At 42.0% G+C, this 19,805-nt stretch overlaps 1 protein-coding gene across 24 annotated transcripts in view, besides 6 other annotated features; it reads left to right on the plus strand.

The window, feature by feature from the left end:
* Positions 1–19,805, plus strand: part of ADD1 (adducin 1) — an 86,219-nt gene that overhangs the window by 7,497 nt on the left and 58,917 nt on the right. For 6 of the 24 annotated variants that reach the window (XM_005247934.3, XM_024453887.2, XM_017007704.2 and 3 more), the window contains exon 1: positions 16,511–16,789. The exons of 12 other annotated variants lie outside the window; for them this stretch is intronic. The gene's annotated coding sequence lies outside the window, so the exon portion shown is untranslated. Of the gene's footprint in view, positions 1–8,600; positions 8,616–16,510; positions 16,790–19,805 lie in introns of those variants that run through there. 6 more of the 24 variants (NM_001354757.2, NM_001354754.2, XM_017007703.2 and 3 more) reach the window with 2 other exon arrangements.
* Positions 1,383–1,432: an enhancer, noted in NCBI's record as "active region_21195". NCBI's record gives its function as "activates an Ori minimal core promoter by ATAC-STARR-seq in GM12878 lymphoblastoid cells {active_cell/tissue: GM12878}" and the evidence as "EXISTENCE:reporter gene assay evidence [ECO:0000049][PMID:35858748]".
* Positions 1,563–1,622: an enhancer, noted in NCBI's record as "active region_21196". NCBI's record gives its function as "activates an Ori minimal core promoter by ATAC-STARR-seq in GM12878 lymphoblastoid cells {active_cell/tissue: GM12878}" and the evidence as "EXISTENCE:reporter gene assay evidence [ECO:0000049][PMID:35858748]".
* Positions 8,398–8,467: a silencer, noted in NCBI's record as "silent region_15191". NCBI's record gives its function as "represses an Ori minimal core promoter by ATAC-STARR-seq in GM12878 lymphoblastoid cells {active_cell/tissue: GM12878}" and the evidence as "EXISTENCE:reporter gene assay evidence [ECO:0000049][PMID:35858748]".
* Positions 10,649–10,728: an enhancer, noted in NCBI's record as "active region_21197". NCBI's record gives its function as "activates an Ori minimal core promoter by ATAC-STARR-seq in GM12878 lymphoblastoid cells {active_cell/tissue: GM12878}" and the evidence as "EXISTENCE:reporter gene assay evidence [ECO:0000049][PMID:35858748]".
* Positions 10,810–11,522: an enhancer, noted in NCBI's record as "OCT4-NANOG-H3K27ac-H3K4me1 hESC enhancer chr4:2863877-2864589 (GRCh37/hg19 assembly coordinates)". NCBI's record gives its function as "activates a minimal SCP1, AML or CMV promoter by ChIP-STARR-seq in primed H9 embryonic stem cells {active_cell/tissue: H9 hESC(primed)}" and the evidence as "EXISTENCE:reporter gene assay evidence [ECO:0000049][PMID:30033119]".
* Positions 11,523–12,234: an enhancer, noted in NCBI's record as "OCT4-NANOG-H3K27ac hESC enhancer chr4:2864590-2865301 (GRCh37/hg19 assembly coordinates)". NCBI's record gives its function as "activates a minimal SCP1, AML or CMV promoter by ChIP-STARR-seq in primed H9 embryonic stem cells {active_cell/tissue: H9 hESC(primed)}" and the evidence as "EXISTENCE:reporter gene assay evidence [ECO:0000049][PMID:30033119]".

Below are 19,805 nucleotides of genomic sequence, written 5' to 3' on the forward strand. Positions count from 1 at the left end.
TGAGGCTGTGGTAAGCAAACTTACAATGCTTACAGTATGTGAGGATTCTGTCAGTGTGCTTTCTTTCCTTCTTTTCCAGAACATAGAGGATGGAGGAGCAGGCCTTAAGAGGGAAAGACACAGAAGATGCAATAGAGAGCCTTGTAGCTCTTTTTTGTCTGTCTCTCCCTCTCTCTCAAAATAAAGCCTATGTAGAGGTATTTTTTTGTCTGATACAGCTGCATGTGTTTGCAGTTTAGTAGGAACTTTGTGGTTAAACCATGCTTTCTAAGATTTTCTTAAAAGGCCAACCTTGTTGCCAGATGATACCATTAATCAAGTTATTCAAGTTATTGTCACATAGGGCTTCAGGCAGGAAGGAAGGTTAGGAATGGTCTTTAGTCTCATAGAATGAACTCCCTTTTGGTCTGAGTGTCTCCTTCAGTAGGAAGGGATGTGATGTTAATTGACCAGTCTTTAGGGGGGAAATAGATGACCCCCACCATCCGGATACTCAGTTTTTATTCTTTTTTTTTTTTGAGATGGAGTTTCGCTCTTGTTGCCCAGGCTGGAGCGCAATGGCTCGATCTCGGCTCACCGCAACCTCCGCCTCCCAGGTTCAAGCAATTCTACTTCAGCCTCCCGAGTAGCTGAGATTACAGGCATGCATCACTACGCCCGGCTAATTTTTGTATTTTTAGTAGAGACGGGGTTTCCCCATGTTGAGGCTGGTCTCGAACTCCTGACCTCAGGTGATCTGCCCGCCTCAGCCTCCCAAAGTGCTGGGATTACAGGCATGAGCCACAGCACCCGGCCTCTTTTCTTTCTTTCTTTCTTTCTTTCTTTCTTTCTTTCTTTCTTTCTTTCTTTCTTTCTTTCCTTTCTTTCCTTTCCTTTCTTTCCTTTCTTTCCTTTCTTTCTTTCTTTCTCTTTCTTTCTTTCCTTCCTTCCTTCCTTCCTTCTTTTCTTTTCTTTTCTTTTCTTTTCTTTTTTTTCTTTTCTTTTCTTTCTTTTTTTTTTTTTTTGAAAGAGAGTCTCGCTCTTTCGCCCAGGCTGGAGTACAGTGGTGCGATCTTGGCTCACTGCAACCTCCGCCTCCCGGGTTCAAGCGATTCTTGTGCCCCAGCGTACTGAGTAGCTGGGATTACAGGTGCACAGCACCACACCCGGCTGATTTTTGTGTGTTTTTGTAGAGATGGGGTTTCGCAGATACTCCATTTCAGTTTTTTTCTGAGCAACGTCTCCAGGGACTGAAGCACACATACTTTGACAACAGAATCACCAGCAATGTCACTGACCTAGGGTGTCTGCAGCATTCAGTGTCTTCTATTTTCTGTACTAGGTGTTTTCTGTACTGTTTGTAAAGCAGGAAATATCTTTTTTTTTTTTTTTTTTTGGAGACAGAGTCTTGCTCTGTCACCCAGGCTGAAGTGCAGCGGTGCGATCTTGGCTCTCACTGCAGCCTTGACCTCGTGGGCCCGAGCAGTCCTCCCACCCAGCTTCCTGAGCAGCTGGGCCTGCAGACCCACCCCACCACACCCAGCTAACTAAAAAAATTTTTTTTTTAGTAGAGCCAAGGCCTTGCTATGTTGCCCAGGCAGGCCTGAAGGTGCTTTTAAACTCAGATAAGCAGGACATTTGTAGCTGTGGAAATAGCTGTAATCTAACCATCAGAGTTGTTTTAAGGATACAAATTACATATAGTGTTTAAAGCATAATGAATGTACAGGTTGCTAGATTGGGTTTTACTCTGTTCTTTCTGTAACTTTTTAGAAGTTGGTCACTTACTTTTTTTTTTTTTTTTTTTGAGACAGGTTCTCACTGTGTTGCCCAGGCTGGAGTGCAGTGGCACGATCTTGGCTCCCTGCAACCTCTGTCTCCCAGGTTCAAGCAATTCTCCCACCTCAGCCTCCCCAGTACCTGGGATTATAGGCGCCCACCACACCCAGCTAATTTTTATAATTTTAGTAGAGATAAGGGTTTCACCATGTTGGCCAGGCTGGTCTCAAACATCTGACCTCAGGTGATCTGCCCACCTCAGCCTCCCAAAGTGCTGGGATTACAGGTGTGAGCCACCGGCGTCTTTTTCTAGTATAAGTGTTTAAGGCTATATAGCTCTCTAGAAGCATCTCTTTAGTGAAGCCAATAGTTTCCAACTGTAATATTTTTGTTAGTAATGTATATTTAAATTTTCATTATGATTTCTTTTTTGGCCCATAAATTATTTTAAAATGTACCTTTAAATTTCTAAATATATGGTTTGAAGAAACTCTTCTGTTATTATGTTGTTTTTTTTTCTTTCAGACTGAGTTTTGCTCTCGTCACCCAGGCTGGAGTGCAATGGTGCAATCACGGCTCACCGCAACCTTCGCCTCCCAGGTTCAAGCGATTCTCCTCCCTCAGTCTCCCAAGTAGCTGGGATTACAGGTGCCCGCCACCACGCCTGGCTGGTTTTTGTATTTTTAATAGAGACAGGGTTTCACCACATTGGCCAGGGTGGTCTTGAACTCCTGACCTCAGGTGATCCACCTGCCTCGGCCTCCAAAAGTGCTGGGATTAAAGGCGTGAGCGACCGCGTCTGGCCGTTATTATGTTTTAATTGCATTGCACCCGGAGAAATGGCTTGTGTGCTGCTGATTCCCTGGAATTTGTTGTGATTTTCTTTATTGCCAGATATGACATGAATGTTTATAAACATTCCTTGTATTCTAAAGAATATGGGCTGGGTGCAGTGGCTCATGCCTGTAATCCCAGCACTTTAGGAGGCTGAGGTGGGCGGATCACCTGAGATCAGGAGTTTGAGACCAGCTTGGCCGACATGGTGAAACCCCATCTGTACTAAAAATACAACAAAATTAGCCCAGTGTGGTGGCACACGCCTGTAATACCAGCTACTCAGGAGGCTGAGGCAGGAGCATTGCTTGAACCTAGGAGGCGTAGGCTGCAGTGAGCCAAGATCATGCCACTGCATTCCAGTCTGGGCGACAGAATGAGACTCCATCTTAAGAAAGCAAGCAAGCAAGCAAGAAAGAAAGAATATGTATTTAATTTGTGTGAGAAAGGGAGGTGCAAGGTTCTGTATATCTCTAATGATCTAACTTTTTGCTTGCATTGCTCATATTTCCTATTTACTGTTACTGACTTGAGCAATGTGGTAGATTATTATGGTAATCTCATTATGGTAGATTTGTCAGTTTCTCTGTGAGTTCTAGCAATTTTTGGTTCATATATGTTGACAGTATTTTATTAGGTGTGAATAACCTTATACTTTTCATCTTCCTGTTGAGCTGTACTTAGGTTTATGGCCTTTTCCATTCCGAATAAATGCTTTTATTTTCTTGGTCTTCATTGTCTGATATTAATATAATTACTCCAGCTTTGTTTTGTTTGGTGTTTGCCTGGTATTTGTATTTTTGTCCATTTATTTTCAGACTGTCTGTGTTCTGTTTCATGGGTATATTAGTTTTTTGTGGCTCCTGTAACAAGTTACCACATACGTGGTGCTTTAAAACAGCAGAAATTATTCTCTCATAGTTCTGGAGGCCAGAAGTTTGAAAACAATATCACTGGACCAAAATCAAGGTGTCACTAGGGCTGTGCATTCTTCCTCTGGAGGTCGTATGGGAGAATCTGTTCCTCGCCTCTTCCAGCTTCTCATGGCTGCCACATTCCTTGGCTGTGGCTGCATCACTCCAATCTTTGTGACCCAGGTCAGATTGGTTTCTTGTCTTCTGTGTGGTTAAATCTCCCCCACCTCGATTTTATAAGGATACTGGTGATTACATTCAGGGCCCACCCAGGTAATCCAGGATAATTTCACAATCCCAAAATACTTAATTATATCTGTAGTCTTTGCCATATAAAGTAATATTTACAGGTTCCAGGCATTATTCAGACCTGTTAACTTGGGGACCGTTACTCAGCTTACTAAAAGAGTGTCTCTTATAAGTTACCTGTAATTTCTGTCTTTTAACTGGCATAATTTAGTACATTTATGTTATGATTCAGATAAATTTGTACTTTCTTTATCATCTTAGGTTTTGTATTCTGTTTGTCTTTTCTCCCCATGCTTGCCTTTTTAAACAACTGGGAGTTGTTTGTTTTTCTTTATATTCTTCCATCTTTTGGTTTGGAAATGACATACTCTTAATATTCTTTTAGTGATTACCCTTGAAATTTTGCTATGCATATTTAACGAAGTCTAAAACTAATATTCTGTCGCCCTCCTAGATACAGCAAAGGCATGAAAGTTCTTTAATTCCAATTATTCAACTCTCAAGTTACATGCTGCTGTTGTTCAGTGTTTTAGTCCAGACTTTTTTTTTTTCTTTTTAAAGAGACACAGTCTTGCTCTGACACTCAGACTGGAGTGCACAAGTTTTTTTCTTTTCTTTTTTTTGAGACAGGTTCTCACTCTGTTGCCCAGGCTGGAGTGCAGTGGCGCGATCACAGCTCACTGCAGCCTTGACCTCCTGAGCTTTAGTGATCCTCCCACTTCAGCCCCCAAGTAGCTGGGACTACAGGCACATGCCGCCATGACCAGCTATTTTTTGTATTTTTTTGTTGAAACAGGGTTTTGCCATGTTGTGTAGGCTAGTCTCAAACTCTGGGACTCGAGATCTGCCTGCCTCAGTCTCCCAGAGTGCTAGGATTACAGGCGTGCACCACCATTGGGCATGGTGGTGCATGCCTGTAGTCCCAGCTACTCGGAAATTATTTCACACAAGTTCTTTTTTAAAAAAAAAAAAAAAAATAGAGACGAGTCTTACTATTATGTTGCCCAGGCTGGTCTTGAATTCCTGGGCTCAAGTATCCTCCCACCTCAGCCTTCCAAAGTGCTAGGATTACAGGCATGAGCCACCACTCCCAACCTTCACCTAAGTTCTTGAAAGATAATTTTGCTTGATATAGAAATCCAGATTGACAGTTATTTCTTTTCAGCATTTTGGAGTTATCCTACTGCTCTCTACTTTTGTTGTTTCTGTTGGCAAGTTTGGCAGTAGTCGGTTTGTTATTCCCTTGTAGGTGATCTGTCTTTTTTTCTTCTGGCTTCTGTTAGAATTTTCTTTTCTTTATTTTGGCCTTGGCTATTCTGCATATTCATTACAATGTGTGTAAGGTATGGATTTATCTTTATTTATTTTGCTTGGTTTTTGTAGATTCATGTCTTTCAGCTCTGGGAAGTTGTCAGCCATTTTCTTTTGGAATATTTACTGTTCCCTATTTATTATTTCTGCATGTTACTCAAGTAAATGGTTACTAGAGTTTTTTTTTTTTTTTTTTTTTTCCTGAGACGGGGTCTTGCTCCGTTGCTCAGGCTGGAGTGCTGTGGCATGAACTCTGCTCACTGCAACCTCCACCTCCTGGGTTCAAGTGATTCTCTCGTCTCAGCCTCCAAGTAGCTGGGACTACAGGCGTGCACCACCATATCTGGCTAATTTTTGTATTTTTAATAGAGATGGGGTTTCACCACGTTGGCCAGGCTGGTCTCAAACTCCTGACCTCAGGTGATCTGCCCACCTTGGCCTCCCGAAGTGCTGGAATTACAGGTGTGAGCCACCACACCCAGCCAACGTTCTTATTCTGTTATTTTTTATTTTTTATTTTTTTTGAGATGGAGTCTTGCTTTGTCGCCCAGGCTGGAGTGCAGTGGCGGCATCTCAGCTCACTGCAACCTCCACCTCCTGGGTTCAAGCAATTCTTCTGCCTCAGCCTCCTGAGTAGCTGGGACTACAGGCTCATGCCACCACGCCTGGCTAATTTTTTGTATTTTTAGTAGAGACAGGGTTTCACCATGTTAGCCAGGCTGGTCTTGAACTCCTGACCTCATGATCTGCCTGTCTCAGCCTCCCAAAGTGCTAAGATTACAGACGTGAGCCACCACACCCGGCCAGGGCAATTTTTTCAAAGCTGTGTTTTAATTCGCAAATTCCTCTTTGTATCTAAGCTGTTACTCATTTTTTGACCTAAAAATTCAATTTAAATTTCTTTTATTCTAAAAGTTAGCAGGTGTGGTGGTGCTCCTGCAGTCTCAGAGTCCCAGCTACTCAAGAGGCTGAAGTTAGAGGATCGCTTGAGCCCAGGAGTTTGAGACCAGTGTGGGTAAATCGAAACCCTGTCTCTACATAAAATACAAAAATTAGCCGGACATGATGGGGTGCACTTGTGGTCTGAGCTACTCAGGAGGCTGAGGTGGGAGGATCACTTGAGCTCAGGAGGTGGAGGTTGCAGTGAGCTGAGATTGTGCCACTGCACTCCAGCCTGGGTGACAGAATGAGACCCTGTCTCAAAAAGAAAATCTGAGTGGTAGGGATTTTCAAGTATTTGCCTTAGTTGAGGTCTCCAAATGGAAATAGTGATTGGGCACTAGTTTAAAATGTACAAAAGGTGTATTCAGTGTGAGGTTGGTTCCAAAGTGCACGGTTTGACAGCCCAGGGAGTGAGTGAGGTGTGTTGGTGTGTTTTCCATGATACAGGGGAACTGACTCCAGTATGGCCAGTATACGAGACTTTGGTAAAATCATTACTTTGTTCTGGAACTCTATTTTAGCATCTGTAAAATGACTTCTAAAGTTCCTTCTGGGGCAGAAAATACATGCTTCTAAGGTTCTGTCTCATTGCTTTTTTTTTATTTTAGTAATTTAATAAGCATTTATTTAAGATCTGCTGCATTCAGAGCATTGTGTTAGGAATATTGGAAGTAAAGCATTGTAATAGCTCTTGCCTTCAGTAAGCTTGCAGTCTGGCAGTTGGATTAAAAAAATGACCATACGAAGCCGTGATAACAGCCTCTAGGAGGGAACTCTACTATGTGGTGGAGATATGTGTCCCCCTGCAAATACCAAGAAAGACAGTTAATTAGTGTCCATTACAGAATGTTCTTCTGGTGTCCTTTTTAAAGAGATTCAGTCAGTCTTTAAAGATGATGCTATTGCTGCTACTGCTAATAATAATAGTGATAGCTACCACTTACTGTTTACTATGTACCTTGTGCTAAACACTTGACATAAGTTAACTCGTTTAATCTTAAACCAAGGAAGTAGATAATGATTCTCATTTTACAGATGAAGAAACTGAAATAGACAGAGATGAAGAAATGTGCCTAAGGTTACGCGGTTTAGTGAACTGGGATCAGAACCTGGGTTCTCTGGCCTTAGACTATAAACCATAGATAGGAATTGAGCACATTTATTAATCAGCATTGCAAGGCTGGTGGAATTTTGATAAACACCCAAACCAGATTCTTTTCTGCACTAGTGATACCAGACAGATTTTGGAAATATAAACAGGATAGGGTGCATTAAAGTTCACTCACATTTGTTCAGTTAAACAGATGGTTGGCTTATCTTTAGTTGCTTCACTCAGTCATTTCCAAAACCACACCCAAGGCCAGGCAGTGGCTCATGCCTGTATTTCTAGCAGTTTGGGAAGCTGAGGTCAGAGGATCACTTGAAACCAGGAGTTTGAGACCAGCCTTGGCCACGTAGTGAGACCATGGCTCAACAAACAAAGAATAATAAACATATTTACTATTATGGGACGTCTATGTGCCAGACATTGTGCTAGACATTTTACATTTATTATTTCTAATTGCCCCAACAACCTGGGAACATATCACCGAGTGTATTTTATTACAAATGTGGAAACTGAAGTACAGAAGACAATAAGCCTATGAAGTGATCGTAGGGCGTTGCTGGTACAAAGTCAAAACCTGCATCATTGGGCCCTGCGCCTCTATGTCTGTGGGGAGAAGGGATTGTTGATGATGTGATAGCTGGAAAACATACCATTCATCAAAATAAATCCCAGGTGGATTAAAAAGAAATGTTTAAAATTATAGAGGCACTGTGGAGAAAAAGCAAAATAAAATGTTTATCAGAGATAACGCCTTAACATTTTCTTGGAACATTTTATTAGATGTGTGCCTGGGAAGGAATGATAACTTTCTTTTTAAAACCAGAAGAAATCACAAAGGAAAAGGTTTGTCAACCTAAATATGCAAAATGTTAAAATATTTTCTTATTGAAAAATAAAATTATAGAAGATAGTAGTCTGAGAATGACAAATATGATAAAAGGGTCAATACCTGTACTATTTTTTTCAGATGTGTAGAAATAAATACATCAAGATCTCAACAGATATGTGTACAAAGGAAATCATAGGCCATGGGAAATTTTAAATGTAAATAAGCATATAAAAAAATTCATGCTCACATACTGAGAGAGATGCCAAATAAAGTAGACATTTCTACACTCCAGCCTTGGCAACCGTGAGACCCTGTCTCAAAAAAGCAAAACCAAAGCAGACATTTCCCATCTACCAAAACAGAGAAATTTTAGTGATAGCCTCTGCTTCCTTTTCGGAGTATGTAAGCCAAAAGGAAATGAAACTTTTTATTTAATCCTCACCCATTTTGGAGGTTTTCTTTACTGTAAGGTTTCCTTTCCAGTGTCAGGCTTAACCTTCAAGCAGTTACCACTTTAGACACATTGTTTGCTGCCATTTCATTCAGCAGCTGCGTTATTCATAAGATCACTTTATAATGACATACTTTTCCATCTTACTGTTTTATAATTATTAAATGGTTCCCCTGATATTGCTCCATTTTTTTTTTTTTTCAGGAGAAACATTCTCAGGTTAGTACTGTTAATCCCTCCTTACGTGTTTAATTAGATTATAGAGTGTTGGTTTTTTCCTTCCTTATAAAATCTTACGTAGAGTTTTCTATACTGATGTGTCTGGTCAACCTGTGCTTCCTGACTTAGCTGAGTCTTCCTGCAGTCTTTATGGGGTTTCATAAAGTGAGCAGGTACCATGCTCACTTAGTTATAACTTCCCTGAGGTCTAGAAATCTCCTTTTCTTCTTTTCTTATTGTCCTACCTCTGGGAGTTGTTTGTGTGAGCTTTAGTCTCCAAATCGAGTCATCTAGAGGCAGACATACTAGCTACGTTTGCTTTATCAACTTTGGGAATTGACGTGATTTTGGAAACATAAGACCTTCTTAATTCAGAGATACAAAACCCAATTTGATATGCAGATTGTCCATTTGCAGTCTGGAATTTCCTTGTGAGTGGCGAACTTGTGAGTGAAATTTGGAGTGTTTTAGTTTGTTGCTGTACTCCAAGGGTCTCTTCAGTCGGACGTCAGTTGTGATTGAATGAAGCAAAGCAAAGGTTTTTCTTAGTCATATGCCTCTAGAAACAAAACTTAGATTAGCGTTGTTAGTCCAAAATGTTAGATCTGGAAATGTATTTGTTCTTCCATATGTATTAATTGAGAGACTATTACGTGACAGCTCTGTGAATACAGTAGTGAATGAGACAGACCAGTTTCTTGTCCTCTTGGGAGTTTTATTATACTAGGGGAGATAGTTTATTTCTGACAGTAATACTAAGAGTTAACACTTAAGTACTTCCTATTTGTCAGGCACTTATTCTAAGCATTTTACATGCATTAACCTGTTGTTAAACTCATATTTCAAATGTGGAAACTTCCACCAGGGAAGTTAAGAAATCTTGCCAAAATTACAGAGTCAGTAAGTGGCTGAGCTGGAGTTTGAACTCAAGCAGTCTAGCTCCAGAGTCTGTGCCCTGATAGTGATGGTAAGTACTTTGAAGGGTAAGAAAACACAAAAAGTCCAGGGTGATTTGAGAGAGCTGGGAGTGGGGACTATTCTAAATAGGGTGGGCAGGGAAGCAAACTTCAAAATTTCCAGTTGAAATTTGACCTGCAGCCTAACTGATAAGGACTAAGGCATTCAAAGTAGCTGGAATAAATTCTTTGTTCTAGGCAGAGAGGACAGCAAGTACAAAGACTCTGAGGCAGGAAGGGGCTGGGAGTGTTTGAGGACAGAAGGGAGACTAGTGTGTCTGGGAAATGGTGAGCAAGGGAGCGTGGGGGCTGGGGGCCAAAATGGGAAGGCCCCTGCATATTGGGGTCAAGAGTGCAGATTTTATTCTAGGGACTGTGGGAAGCCATTGAACTCTTGGCCCCAAGTGGTCCTTGGCCTCCCAAAGTGCTGGGATTACAGGCATGAGCTACCACTCCCAAATTAAGTAGGGTGCGACATTTAAATATATTAATACCTTTATGGAGAATGAATTATTAAGAGTTTATGAGTTTAGATACAGAGAGACAAGACTAGAGATTAAGAGTCTTATTTTGAATAAGTTAGGTTTGAGTAGACTTTAAATATTCAAACAGATGTTTTGTTGGCATTTGGACATACAAGTTTGGCCTCAGGGAAGAGTTTAGGGCTAGAGATAAAAATTTGGGGCCCATTAGTGTATATAAATCAGTGGTTCTCAACTGTGAGTGCACATTTGACTCACCTTTAAAAATGCTCATGCCCAAGCTCCATTCCTAGAGATTCAGATTCTGTGGGTCTGGGTTTGGGTCTAGCCATGGTTTGTTTTAAATCTATCTAGGTGGCTCTAATGTATGACGAGGGCTGAGAACCACTGGTGGAGGTGGTATTTAGAGCCAAGGATGGGCCTGGATCAGTGTGATCCTTTAAGGCAAACTTGTCCAACCTGTTGCCCACATGTGGCCCAGGACAGCTTTGAATGCAGCCTAACACAAATTCGTAAACTTTCTTAAAACATTATGAGATTTAAGTTCATCAACTATCATTAGTGTTAGTGTATTTTATGTGTGGCCCGAGACAATTCTTCTTCCAGTGTGGCCCAGGGAAGCCAAAAGATTGGACACCCCTGGCTTAAGGCAATGGTATAGCTAGGGAAGACAAGCAGCTCAGGGTACTGGGGCAGCCCAGCAGGTAGAAGTTGGATAGAAGAGGTAGAACAGCAAGGGAGACTCACAGCAGTAGCTGGAGAGGTTGGAGGAAAACCAGAAACTGATGTCTGAAAACTGGAAGAGGACAGTGACTCCTGAAAGTGGGAGCAGCTGTGCCAGATGCTGCTGAGAGCTGGTAAAGTGAATGCGCTCAGAAGGAATTGAAACTAGCTTCACTGAATGGGTCTCAGAGGTTCAAACCAGGGTTTTAGGAGCTGTAGATTCAAATCCTACCCCTGACATTAGTTTTCTATTTAAAATTAAACAGGATGCTCTTTTCTTAGCCTCTTTTTATCTTTGCTTATTAACCAAAATGTAACTGAACTGTCTCAATGCTTAAAGAAAGGAGATGATAAACAGACAGCCTTATTCCCCTCTCCCATTCCCAAACAAAAGCCAGTTCTTACCTGGAGTTTTGGCTCTAGCTTTCTCTCTGCCTGGAGTGCCTTTCTGGATATATGGCCACCTGGCCTAGTGCTCTCACCACCTGTTTGTCTGTGAGTCCTTCCTTAGCTGTCCCCTTCTCTGGGAGCTTTCCTTTGCTCTTCCTACTTAATGATGTGACTCACCTCCCCACCCCCTGGACTCCCAGTTCCCTACCCATAGCACTTGTCGCCTTCTAACAGACTGTGTGATTTACTTATTTATCATGTTTATTGCCTGGCTTCCCTGCAGGAATGTAAGAAATCTTTGTTTTGTTCATTGATGTCCCCTGAGAATGTGGATTGCTGAGCAATGCCTGGTCTATAGCAGCCTCACAGTTAGTGCTTGGTAGATATTTGGTGACTGAGTGCTGACTCCATGAAAATGATTGTCATCCTTTGACTCTGCTCCAGTTGCATTTGAAAAGTTGCATGGGATCTGCCACTTCTCTCCATGACCCAACTATAGAGACTTCTGGAGTGTGGCTTCTCCCCTCTACCTCAGTACTGTCATGCCTATTGAATTTTTTTGAGACAGAGCTTCACTCTGTCACCCAGGCTAGAGTGCAGTGGGATGGTCATGGCCCACTACAGCCTCTACTAGGCTCAAGTGATCCTCTCACCTCAGACTCCTAAGTAGCTGGGACTACAGGTGCATGCCACCACGCCCAGCTAATTTTTAATTTTTTTTTTTTTTTTTTTTGGTAGAGCTAGGGTTCTGCCATATTGCCCAGGCTAGTCTCAAACTCTGGGCTGAAGCAATCTGCCCACCTCTGCCTCCCAAGGTGCTGGGATTACAGTTGTGAGCCACTGTACAAGGCTTTACTTGGAATTTTTAGACTTCAGAAATTATTTGAATGTTAATATAGGAAAGTGGTAGTAATAATTAGAAGCAAATTATATATATGAGAAACAGTATTTAATGTATTTTGGAGACCAAGTGTTATGACAGGGATCAGAAATTTTCAGTTGTCACTGACAGTAAAAATCATTGCAAGAAGCAATTTGGTGCTGTGGAAAGTTCATAGGCTTGGAAGCCAGGATACTTGGTTCTTAGGTTTGTCCAGTAATCTTAGCCACCCTACAGTGAGTGTCTGCTGTCTGCCAAACACTCTAAATGCTTTCCAGACAGCATTTTTGATTTTACTGTATCACTCATGGTTGCCATTACTACACCTTGTTTTTTTTTGTTTTGTTTTGTTGTTTTGTTTTCTAAGAGATAGGGTCTCACTGTGTTGCCCAGGCTGGTCTCAAACTCCTGGGCTGAAGAGATCCTCCTGCCTCAGCCTCCCAAGTAGCTGTGAGTACAGTCATGAGCCACTGTGCCTGGCTACTATACCCTGTTTATAGATGGAAAAACTGAGTCCCAGAGAAAAGATAAGAAAGAAAAGATTCTATTCTGATATGAACAGAATCATTTTGGAGTGGAGACCATGTGGGGCACATTTAACCCCTATACACTGTCAACTAGAGAGTTTGGTTAACTTACTGTCTCTACCTTAGGGTAAGACACAATCTCCGAGGACCTACATTTTATGACCTGTGAGATCAGGATAAGGCTATCCTGCTAAAACACTTAAATAACAGAATTTATGGCCGGGCGTGGTGGCTCACGCCTTTAATCCTAGCACTTTGGGAGGCCGAGGTGGGCAGATTTCCTGAGTTCAGGAGTTCGAGAACAGCCTGGGCGATACGGTGAAACCCCATCTCTACTAAAATACAAAAAATTAGCTGGGCGTGGTGGCGTGTGCCCGTAGTCCCAGCTGTTCGGGAGGCTGAGGCAGGAGAATTGCTTGAACCCGGGAGGCGGAGGTTGCAGTGAGCCAAGATCGTGCGTGCCATTGCTCCACCCTGGGTGACAGAGCGAGACTCCGCCTCAAAAAACAAAACAAAACAAAACAAAAAACAGGATTTATATTGTAAAATATAAAACTTTAAACAAATGTTTTGTATCATTATGCTGCTGAAAATACAATGTTCCAACAGTGTCCTCTGTTCATTTTATACTCACAGTGATGCTTATTATTTTATTTATTAGAATGTATCTGAGATGCCAAGTTCAGGAGATTTTTGGAGTCCTGCTCTGTGTGCCCTTCTGCCAGGTGGCCCTATGCTTATAATCACTCTTAGGTGTTTACACTTCCTTCCTTTTTCTTGTCAGGGTCCCTGGCTCCCTCTGGAGTCTACTCTCCAGGAGGTGGGGGGCGCTGATGTCAGCAGGGAAGGGGGGCTTATTGCTCTCAGTGATGCTTATTATTTTATTCACGTTCTTAATGGTTTGAGTTTTTGGTTTTTTAAGAGATGGGGTCTTGCTTTGTTGCCTGGCTGGATTTGAACTCCTGGACCCCATTGTGCCTCACTTGTTTTATTTTTCAAATTTTATTATTTTGTAAATTTCCCTTTTATAAATTAATCTTTAAAAATGTGTGTGTGTATATCTATGAACAAATAAAGGATCTCCTGGTCATCTCTGTCCCCATCCACCCAGCTCCCTGTTCCTCCTTACAAGTAAATCACCATTGTAAGTTGTATATTCTTCCTGCATTTCTTTATGCAAATAGAAGGAAATGTGAATGTTTTTCTTATTCTCTTCCTTCTCCCCACAAAAGATGCCATACATACACTATTTTCTCTTGTTTTTTTTTTCCTGCCTGACAGTATTTCCTTGTTTTTGTGAAGACTAGACCATCTAAAATTTTGTGTACTCATAATTACTTGATAGCATAAAGACTTTCAAGTCTCCATCAGCTGACACAATTAATTTTCAATGAACATACCTTTGGCAAGTCTTCTTAGGCTTATTTTTGTGATTTTTAAATGCTTCCTGCCTAGCTCTAAAAAGGAAAACCTGGCACCATCCTCAGAAGTTTCAGAGTTAATGAAGTATCTCATGTCTCAGCCTTTGCGTGTACAGAATAAATACGTTTTTCTCAGTTCACTTACCCATTGTGGTGTTCTCAGTTTATGAGCCCTTGCTATAATTTTCAAAGCTTTCTTTTATCATTTGTCTTTCAGATAAAACAACTGCTTCACAACTAGGAACTTTTAGTTGTTGATTATTAAATTCTGTCAAAACTGCCTGTTTGTTTTTTGTGGTCAGTATTTTAATCTCCCTTATCTACAATCCTGCCAAACTTCCCTACCTTCCCCCTGCTCCAGAAAAATAAAATCCAACTCAAACCTTACTTAGCAAACCACCCTCACAGAGTGAAATTCAGAAAAAAAATTTTGTTTCAATAAAAAGATTTTGAAAGATTTCATCACTTCAACAAAACTATAGTTAAAAAATTAAAATATTATATTAATTGAAGGACAGTAACAGTATAATGAGGGAGCAAAAATAGAGAAAGTAGCTGACATTGCCAGAAGATAAGTCAAATTCTGCTTTTTCCCACATGTAATTGTTCAGGACATGTGGCTCAGAATATGTGAATTAGTATAGTAACTACAGCAGAGTCTCTCTGGGTTGTGTTATTTGCTCAATTGCGAGATAGCATACTTATAAAATTATTTCTAGATTCACTCCTGAAATCTTAACTGCAGTCTGCTTTGTGGAATTTCTTCTTGGAAGAACTTGTTTAAGAGTATGCTGATTGATATTTGTTCATGGGCCATCTGAAGATTCTGGATGTTATTTTATTTTATTTTTTGAGGCAGTCTCCCTCTGTTCCCCAGGCTGGAGTGCAGTAGCACAATCTCGGCTTACTGCACCCTTCGCCTTCCGGGTTCAAGCAATTCTCCTGCCTCAGCCTCTGGAATAGCTGGGACTACAGGCACGCACCATCACACCCAGCTAATTTTTTGTGTGTGTGTATTTTTAGTACAGACGGGGTTTCACCATGTTGGCCAGGCTGGTCTCAAAGTCCTGACCTCAGGTGATCTGTCCGCCTTGGCCTCCCAGAGTGCTGGGATTACAGGCGTCAGCCTCTGTGCCTGGCCTGGAGGTTATTTTAAATCGTTTTTTTTTTTTGGGATGAAAACAAATTTTGTTAAAATTAGTAATACAGAATGATTTTGTGTTCTTTTATCATTCATTCATTTACCAAATATTTATTGAGGCCTGTTCTGTGCTAAATGGTGGGGAGATGGTGCTGAACTACACAGAAGAGCCCCAGTATGCCTGCTAGCTCTTCCCGTGTTTACATTTTGATTTTCTGTGCTGCAATACAGTAGATGAGCTTGGCATTGAGAGTGAGTAGTCTTGGATTTAGGTTTTGAGCCGGCCATTTATTTATTGTGAGACCTCTGAAGCTTAAAACTCTGAGCCAGCACACCTGTAATCCCAATACTTTGGGAAGCCAAGGTGGGTGGATTGCTTGAGCCCAGGAGTTCAAGACCAGCCTGGGAAACTTGGTGAAACCCCATCTCTACAAAAAATATAATAATTATCTGGGCATGGTGGCACGCTCCTGTAGTCCCAAGCTACTTGGGAGGCTGAGATGGGAGGATCACTTGAGCCCGGGGGCAGAGGTTGCAGTGAGCCAACATCACGCCACTGCACTTCAGCCTGGATGACAGAGCAAGACCCAGTCTGAAAAAGAAAGAAAGAAGGAAAACCCACAAAAACACTGAGTCAGTCTTGATCTGCACATGGAGGAATCTTGCAGGGTGGTTGGAATTAACGAGTGTGTGTGAGAACATTGTTCTCTGCAGTGGTCTTTATAGGGTCTTTAGACAATTCGTGGTCACTTTTCTGGATCCCTTGCATTTTCTAGCTGCATTTTCCTCAACTGGGTTTGGGAAAAATTAGGTCTGGAGTTTGGGATGGGGAGCTGTTTTTACTTTACAGGTGAGGTAACTCCATACGTGTTGAAGTTTTATAGGAGTATGAGTGGAACCAACCTCTGATTTTTGGCTCAGTACTGACCCTTGGACTGGAGAGTCCTGTTGTCAGCAACAAGAACACAGTTTAATGAGAAGCAATTAAGAGTGCGGTCTCCAAACCATAGTCTTAATTTCAGATTCTTGCTTCTCCACTTACTGCCTACTAAACCTTAAGCAAGTAACTGGAATATCTCTCATAACATACCATAGGATTAATTAATGCTGTAGTTAAAAGAAAAACAACACCAGCTATGTAATTGTATAAAAGACTTAATAAAATGTGGATGATTTAGGCTGGGAAGCCGTTAACTAACCATTCATCATAAAAGGGAGGAAGCAAGAGGACCCACTTGAGTAGGCTGGGACAAATTGCTGTGGTTCAGTTTTACTTTTTGCTTTTGTTTCTAATTGGAGCTGTTTTGAGACATCCTGATTGTCAGAGAGAATGTGGATTAGAGGGAGGAGGAGGAGCTCTGGAGTCAGGCAGCCCGAGTTCAGACTCCAGCAACCCCATTACTGGCTGCTTAACTGTGTTGTGCCTTATCTGCAGAAAAAATGAGTTAAAACACACATAGTGAGCAGTGATAACTGTAGCTGTGATTATTTGAAAGGGGCCTTTTGAGCAGCTGCTTCTGCAAGAGGACATCCGGAGACACAGGAATAGAAATGATCCGATCAGAGTAATTAAAGGCTTTTAACTGAGCTCTGAGGTCCCAAACAGGGCACACTCCGTCAGCCTAAAGCTGTGAAGAAGAACCTTCAACATAAGGTGGGTGTTCTCTTTTAGGGTGGTGGAGAACTGTGTCATTAGGCTAGTACTGTAAGCAGTGGGGGGTTAGAGCTTAACTACGGTTGTGTTTGGGAGATAGCGCCAGATGTTGGGCTCCCTCCTGCCAGTAGATTACAGGGATTTCCTTTGCATTGGCTGGTGCTGCAGCCTTCCAGTATTGCAGGTTTCCAAGTGTTTGTAATGAATTTCTGGCCAGGGCGTCCATGTCTCTTGGTGCTGGCCAGGGTGTGTGCTGACGGCTGCACTGTTCCCAGCCCTCTGCCTGGATTTAGTCTTCAGTGTCGGAGCCCCCAAGTCTGTTTACAATCTTGTTACTCTTTCCAGCGAACTCTCCACCTTCTGTTTCACTGCGTATTTCCTGACGATGCAGTTTCATTTTGGATGCAGACCTCTTGGAGCCCTTTGTCCCAGGGAAGTTAGATGTCCCTTGTGGCAAATACCCTCCTTCGGGAATAAACAGTCTCATTTGAGCCCCTGCTATGTATGACACACTCCCCCAGGGCCCTTGTACAAACATGAGTTAGAAATGTATTGTCCCTGTATTTCACAGGCCCACAGACCAGTGATGGAGCAAGTATGTACCCAGATAATTTATCCGCATATGATTTGGTCCTGTTTGAAAGTGGCCATGGGAGAGGTGGGAATGGTGTATGTTGACACACAGGAGTCCAGGTGCCAGGCTTGGGGCGTGGGGAACCTTCATAGAGCGGGAAGCATTCGAGTTGGATATTGAGAATGAGTGGGGGCTGAAAGGTTTAGAATAGAGAGAATAGTTAAATTAGGTCATTAAAAATATGTGGAACACCTGCTGGGTGCCAGGTACTGCATGTGAAATCAGACGACGGTTGACTGCGCTCACTCTGCTGTGTTTTCTGTGCTACTCCCTAAAGCTCAGTAGATGTTTATTCACCAGGTGACTGCTGCCTTCCCCAAGCCACCTGGCAGTCACGTTTTACCTCTGAAATCATCTCAGTGAAGCTTTCCTGACAGCCCCTCTCTATGAGTTTCCTAGAGCTGCTGTAACAAAGTGCCACAGACCAGGGGCTTAAACAACAGTAATGTGTCATCTCACAGTTCTGGAGGCTAGAAGTCTAAGATCAGGGTGTGGGCAGGGCTGGTTCCTCCCGAGGCTGTGAGGGAGAATGGGCCCCATCCTAGCTCGGTAGTCGGCAGTCCTTGGCGTTTCTTGGCTTGAGGAAGCACTGCGTCCACCTCTGCCTTCATCTACACTTAGTTCTCCCTGTGCGTGTCTCTTTGTCCGCATTTTCCGTTTTATAAGGACATAAGTCATTTTGGATTAGGTCTGCCTTGTGGACCCCATCTTAACTAATTACATCTGTAGCGACCCTATTTCCAAATAAGGGCATATTCTGAGGAACTGGGGGTTAGGGCTTCAACATGTGAATTTTGGGGAGTGGACACAGTCCAACTCATAATATCCTCTCTCAGTTCTTTCTACCTCCCACTCATGGACACTTTCCCCCTGCTGATATACTGTAAGTGGAGTTCTGTCATGCACTGAGAGAATTTTGTTTGTTATCTCCTGCTCTTCGTATTTTTCAGTCTCTGGTGCCTTGCATGTAAGGTGGAAGGTGTCTCCAGTGCAAATTTATTATGCGCCAGGAGTTAGTAGAAATAAGGGAAGATACTGCAGAGATCACCTCTCTTCTTGGTCTCCTATTGACAATTCCAAAGGCTCTCTGGAGTCGGGTGCCAGGTGGCCAAGGACATTACCAGGGGATACCACTTTCATTATCTCCTTTTTCCCACGGAGCAGTAATTCATTATTAGCTGACAATCAAAGAGCATTAGAAATCTGACAAGATCCTTTGGGTCCTCTAGCAGGCATTTTACACGGAGGCTTTCTTTAATGGCTCTCTTCTTCCTAGTTTCAGCCGTAAGTTTTCATGTTCCAGCTTTAGGGATTCAAAAGTAAATCATGTGAATGCTGGGAATAGTTACCCTTAGCAAAGATGTCTGTGCCAGAAGGGAGATGCCAATAAATAATTGAATCTGTCCAAAAGTTTCAGAATTCCCTCATTATATATTTGAGAGAAGCAAAAATTTGTCTGGTATCTGACCTGAGGTTTAGTTACACATTAATAAAGATGGATCATCCCAGGGCTGCAGTACTTCTGCTAAGAAAGAATATTCCAGCATAACCTTTGTTATTTCCGAGTCAGTAAATAATGTACTAGGTAGAGTGGTGTTTTCTGGGACATTAGAAAAGAGACGTTATTTGGACTAAATAGTGCTGTTCAGTCAGGATTTTCTTCAATGCCATTTAGCAAACCAACTGTCCTTAGTCTGTCCAGCTAGCAAGAATTTGTATAATGCAACAGAGAGTGCTGTTCAGTCAGGATTTTCTTCAATGCCATTTAGCAAACCAACTGTCCTTAGTCTGTCCAGCTAGCAAGAATTTGTATAATGCAACAGAGTACTTTACAGTTTTCACACTTTAAATGTCACAGGAGGGGTTCTTCACTAGGCTTCTGGAACCTAGTCTAGCAAAATTAGAGGAAAGGCCCTAAGGAGATTTATCTCTGTTAAGAGAAAAAGTTAACATTTTCAGGCTAAATAGTTGAATCTACTGAAGATAACAAATAATGTCTACTATTTCAACCCTCCAAAGATTGAAGAGTGTTAGGATTGTCATTTGTGTTTTTTTGTGGGGTAGTTGAATAAAATTGGGCAGCTAAAATTTTCAGTTCCATGTGCCTCCTAAACAAAAAACAAAGTAAGTAGTTTGTGAATTGACTGTAGACAAAATAGAAACTATGCTGCATGCTGTTTTTTTTGTAAACAGATGACATTTTCTTTCTTTTTTTTTTTTTTTGAGCTGGAGTCTCGCTCTGTCACCCAGGTTGGAGTGCAGTGGCATGATCTTGGCTCACTGCAATCTGTGCCTGCCGGGTTCATGCCATTCTCCTGTCTCAGCCTCCCGAGTAGCTGGGACTACAGGTGCGCGCCACCACACCCGGCTAATTTTTTTTTG

The sequence above is a fragment of the Homo sapiens genome, chromosome 4 (genome assembly GCF_000001405.40).
Source record: "Homo sapiens chromosome 4, GRCh38.p14 Primary Assembly".
Classification (NCBI taxonomy): Eukaryota; Metazoa; Chordata; class Mammalia; order Primates; family Hominidae; genus Homo; species Homo sapiens.